Below are 6034 nucleotides of genomic sequence, written 5' to 3'. Positions count from 1 at the left end.
GATGAACTGCTTCTGCAGAGATGATTAGCATCACAAGGCATTTTAAGGGAATACCTGCAACACTTCAGCTCACTGCAGAAGCAACAGGTGGCTATGAAATCATTCCAGTAGTACAGTGTGTATTATAGTTAATTTTATGCAGTTATGATTTAATGCTGCCTCTTTATATTTGTTTACATTTCTCTCAGCTGTGAATGGTGCCATGTGCTGTATGTGCATAAATTTTGATAAATTTTAACTTTTTATAATAGATTGCATATATTTTATGGTAGTAATGATAAAATAGATGAGTATCTACCTATATTTTTTGTGCATTCATGACATACCTTTTTCTTAATTTATTTCTAGGCCATGCAGATTCATCTATAAGCTGTTTCAAATGGTCACAAATCTCCAAAAAAATTTCAGTCTATTTATTGAAATAAAAAGCTGCTTATAAGTAGACCCATACAGTTCAAACCGTGTTGTTCAAGGGTCAACTATATTTGTAATTCCCTTTTCTGACACAGCTTGACTCCCTTCATCCTTAGTACAGAGTAAGTCCTCACTTAACATGATCAATAGGTCTTCTTGGGAACTGACTGACTTTAAGTGAAGATGTGAAACAAAATTAATTTTACCATAGGCTAATTGATATAAGCAAGAGATCTGTGCCTATGACATATTTCTGGCCACAAAAACATCACCAAATGTAAATAAAGACCAAAACCACTTGTAATATTGAACATTAAAATAAATGTTAGCTTCACATACATATAAGGAAGAAAGAGTAATAAGATATTATTTACCCATTGTTTGGTGAATCAGCGAATGATGGCAGTTGTAGTGGTGGTGGGTGAAATCAAGAAATGAATGTTGGCAAAGTGCAATTTGTAAGGATCACCTCCTACCTCCATACAGTTAAAACCAATCACAAATATGGCAGGCTCATGGAGCACTTTTGTACGACATCATTGTGTATTGCAGCATTTGTATGATTATCATAAACTTTACAAATTTTTATTTTACAGTAATTTGCATTCATGTATTTGTTCCTTGTCCAACATGCTTATCCAGTTCAGGGTGGCAGATGACTGGAACCTATCCAGCAGCTCAGGGGCCCAAGTGGGAACCGGCTCTGGACACGCTATTGCATGGCACACTCACACACACCCAGATTCACTCAGACTGGGACCATTTAGACACATCGGTTAACCTAATGTGCCCAGATTTGGGATGTGGGAGGAAACCAGAGAACCTGGAGAAAAACTCACGCAGACTTGGGGAAACCATGTAAACTCCATACACACAGTGGCTTTGGCTATGATTTCTTTTTCTCGTCAATGTTATAACAAAACGGCATTATTCCAGGACTTGCTGTATTTAGTTATTTGTTTAACCCCGAGTGTGTAACCAATCTTTTGTGTCCCTGCTCCCATGCAGATGCACTCTTCACTCCCACTTGGGACTCTTCTACCTTTCATTGGTTGCCTCTGCCATTTTTCCTCCCAAGTGGATGCCATCTTCACCTGATCCTTCCTCAGACACCCTGTGCCAGGCTGCCCTCTTATGCAGATGACCCATCCTCACCTCCCTTAGGTGCTGAAGACACATGCTCCATCTGTGTGTGGGTGCCTCCTGATATTGTTCAGTCTTTCATACCTCATTTCTTTTGCCCACCTTACAACAATGATCTCAATTGACCTCCAGCACTGTGCAGGGTGACATGGCGCCACTAGAGCCCTTCTCATTTCATTCAGGCCCCAATCCTTCACTCTGGATCAACACAACTCCCTGTTTTGTCCCCACCCTTGTGAGCTGAAATGTTCAGGAAGAGAAAGGAGGAAAAAACTTCATATACTTTTTATAATCAAAATGTAAAGCTTTACAAAGCAAGGATTTTGATTGGAATTGAATTGAATACATAATTTAGAGAGAAAAGACTATATTGAATTTCCCCAAACTATTAATATTTTAGTAGTCTATCTTATTAACTCTCAACGTTTAAAAAATTTCTTATAGAGGTCTTGCATATGTATTTTAGATCCCTAAATATTTGATACATTTGATCCTATTACAAATTTTATCTTTAATTTATTTTCTGTTTGTTTCTTGCTTATAGAAATAAAATTGATATTTTGTATATTGATCTTGAATAGTTTAGCTATATTGCTACACTTAGTTATATTTTTTCTTATTTGAATATTTTAGCTATAGATTCTTTTGGATTTTCTATATACACAGACATATTATCTGTAAATAGTAAGTCTTGTATCCTTTCTAATTCCTAGAGCTTTTGTTTCTTTTTTTCTACTGTAAGAATACTGTTAAATAAATATAGAGATGGTAGGCACTCATATCTTGTTGAAATGGCAATGGGAAAATAATATTTTTCAGTAAGTATGGAGATGGTGGCCTTTTGTTTTCATGGTAGATATCATTTATTACTGTGTTCATTTTCTTTTGTTGCATAACAGATTGCCACAAACATAGCATCTTTAAACAACAAACATTTATTATCTCACAGCTTTGGTAGGTCAGGAGTCCAGGCAGGTTTTCACTTGATCTTTTCCTCAGAATCTTACAAGGTTGTAACCAAGGTGTCAGCTGGGCTGCATTTTCATTTGGAGGCTTGACTGCAGGAGAATCTGCTTCCAAGTTTATTCAGTTTGTTGACAAAATGTATTTCCTTGTGATGGAATGACTGAGGTCCTCAGCCATCTGCTAATCCTTGGCTGACTATCCTAAAGTCCTAGAGGTTGCCTAAAGTTCCTAGAAGCTGGTTACAGTTCTTGGCCATGTGGAATTCCTCAACAATTCCTCATCAAGCCAGCAAGAAAAGCCTGTCACCTCAGGGCTTAAATCTGGTTAATCAGGTTCACTCAGGATAATCTTCCTTTTGATTAACTCATAGATTAACTAATTTTGGACCTTAATTACATTGGCAAAATTCTAATAGCCAGAGGCAGTCACGATCAAGAGAGGAGGATTCTGTAAGGTGAGAATGCTGAGGGGCAAAACTCATGGATGTTACTATTAAAATTGTATTAATGAAGTTCTCCTCTTGTACTAGTTTTCTAAAGTTCTTATTATGAATAAATGTTGTATTTTATCAGGTAGTTATTTTGCATCTAGGAAGATAATCATTTAAAAATTAACTTTTTTTTTTTTTTGATGCAAGGTCTTACTCTGTCGCCCAGGCTCAATTGCAGTGGCAGGATCATGGCACACTGCAGCCTCAACCTCCCGGGCTCAAGAAGTTCTCCCATCTTAGCCTCCTGAGTAGCTGGTGAAGTGATGTCTGGGGTAATACCCGAGGTTTGTTTCCTCACACCAAGGAAATCAAGGATGTGGACACATAAGGAGTAAGGTTAAGAGTGGACGCTTAATAGGTGAAAGAAACAGAAAAGCTCTCTCCTGTGGAAAGAGGGGTCCTGAGTGGGTCTTCCAGTCTGTGGCAAAATGCAAGGGGTTATATAGATGAGCTTGAGGAGGCAGTGTCTGATTTACATAGGGCACAAATGATTGGTCGGACCAGGTGTGCTATTTGCATAAGGTGTGAAAAACTGGGTAGGGCTAGGTGTGTCATTTGTATAGCATGCAAAAAAGCTGGCTGCCCCACCCTAATATTTTATCATGCAGATGTGTTCTCTACCTAGCTGGTGCCATGTTGCTTGCTTCTTTACTGTACACGTGGTGACAAAGAAAAGGGAAGATGGAGCTTCCATGTTGAACATGCCTGGCCATGAGGTAGCCCTTTTCTTTTGGCACAGCTGCCGGCATTCACCTGTGTAAGCTTCCAGCTTGCTTATCTATGTCTGCAGCTTGATTTTTCAGGCTGCTCTTTGTTAGAAAAGAAATTACTTTGGGGCTGCTTTGTGTTAAAAGGGAAGCCTTGCTGAGGACTCCTTTACCCTCACTATCTTCCTAAATAATTTATTTTTAGCTCTTGTATCACTGGGATTATAGGTGTGTGCCACCATGCCCAGCTAGTATTTTTGTAGAGACAGGGTTTTGCCATGTTGCCCAGGCTGGGAAATCAAGTTGTTAAATGTGTTGAATTACATTACATTATTTGCTTATGTTAAACCAACTTTGCATTTGTCAGATAAACTGACCTGGATTCGTGATATTATTTTGGTTTTATATACTGCTACTTTTAGTATGTTAATATTCTAGTTAGAACTTTTAAAAAGTCTCTCTTTTTATATAATTATACAAAGAATTTTCAATACTTCAGCTCCATTTACATTCCTCCAAAATTATATATATTGTTGCTTTCTGTTGTAATTCTCTTATAACTTATAAAAATACTAGACATTTTATAATTTTTATATAATACTGTCAATGTTCCCCTAAATTTATCTATATATGTAATACTGGTAATATATACATATTTACAATGTAATATATGATATATATACTATACTGTATATAATATAATATGTAATATATAATATAAAATGTGTTATACATATTTAATCCTGGTAATGAATCTCCATTTAAAAATTCTTTATTTCTCCTTATTCTTGACACATATTTTCATTAGACGATTCTAGGTTGCTAGCTATTGTCTTTCATCACATGAAAGATACCATTCTACTGATTTTTGGCTTCCACATTAATAATTGCTATTGAGAAATCAGCTTTCTGTATAACTGTTCTCTGGTAAATGTAATACATTTCCTGCTCCGTCCCTGTTACCCACCATCTTAACTTGGTTAGGGTTCATTTGGCTTCTTTTTTTTGTTTTTTCGAGACAGAGTCTTGCTCTGTCGCCCAGGCTGGAGTGCAGTGGTGCCATCTCGGCTCACTGCAAGCTCTGCCTCCCCGGTTCACGCCATTCTCCTGCCTCAGCCTCCCGAGTAGCTGGGACTACAGGCGCCCGCCACCACGCCCGGCTAATTTTTTGTATTTTTAGTAGAGACGGGGTTTCACCGTGTTAGCCAGGACAGTCTCGATCTCTTGACCTCGTGATCTGCCCGCCTCGGCCTCCCCAAGTGCTGGGATTACAGGCGTGAGCCACCGCGCCCGGCCCATTTGGCTTCTTGAATCTATGGTTTGGTGTCTCCCAACATATCTAGACTATGTTGATCTAGCCTCCATATTTCTTAACCTCTCATGTTTTCCATGATTTTGGGGAGCCTATTTTTGTATTCTGAATTATTTCTTTTATTTTTATTTCATTAATTTTCTCTTCTACTGTGCCCAGTCTGCTGGCTGACCTGTCCATAGAATTTTAAATTTAGGTTGCATTTTTTTTCAAGAACAATTTTTATTAAGACCACTATTAGTAAAAGGTTTCAGTCTTTAAAAATAATCCCAAAATCTGTGAGTAAGAGCAAGTGCTAGGAAATAAACACTAAAGTATAACAGCAAATAGTGCTCTTGTGTGTGTTATGTTAAACTTTTTATTTCATTAAATCCATCTTTTCTCCAATTTAGACATTTTTTGTAGAGACGGGACTTCACTATGTTGCCCAGGCTGGTCTCACTCCTGGGCTAAAGTGATTCTCCTGCCTCGCCATTGGAATGTATGGGGATTACAGGTGTGAGCCACTGCATCCAACTGACATTTTTTAAGTTAGTCATTCATAAAATAAGAGTGGCTGTCCTTCTGAATTTTGTTCATGTCACCTTTTAGGCATATTGCATAATATGTCAATATCCCTAAGAGATTACCAGTTGATGGTTCCAGTTTTACAAAAGAAACAGACAAGGAAATGTTCTTGTCATTAACAGAACTATGACTTATTTATCTGCTCAGTGGGTTACAGAGAAACAGCACTATTATGTGTAATTAAAATAGAAAAAAAGAGATCTTTCCAGGCGTGAGTGTGTATTTATAATTTCATGGTAAACACATATACTTCTAAGTGAAGATTTCCCCATATTTATAGTGTTAAAAGTTCTTAAAATAATCCTTTCACAAAAATAAGGCAGCATTATGCTGAAAAAGCATTATTTCTGTGTCAAAAGTTACGCCCTTCAGTCTTAATCTGCTATCACCAGCTGTCAGCTACTTCTTTAAAGACCAAATATTTCTTTGTCAGCA

Source organism: Homo sapiens, chromosome 13, assembly GCF_000001405.40.
Source record: "Homo sapiens chromosome 13, GRCh38.p14 Primary Assembly".
NCBI classification, from domain to species: domain Eukaryota; kingdom Metazoa; phylum Chordata; class Mammalia; order Primates; family Hominidae; genus Homo; species Homo sapiens.
Note: the sequence above shows the minus strand (reverse complement) of the source record.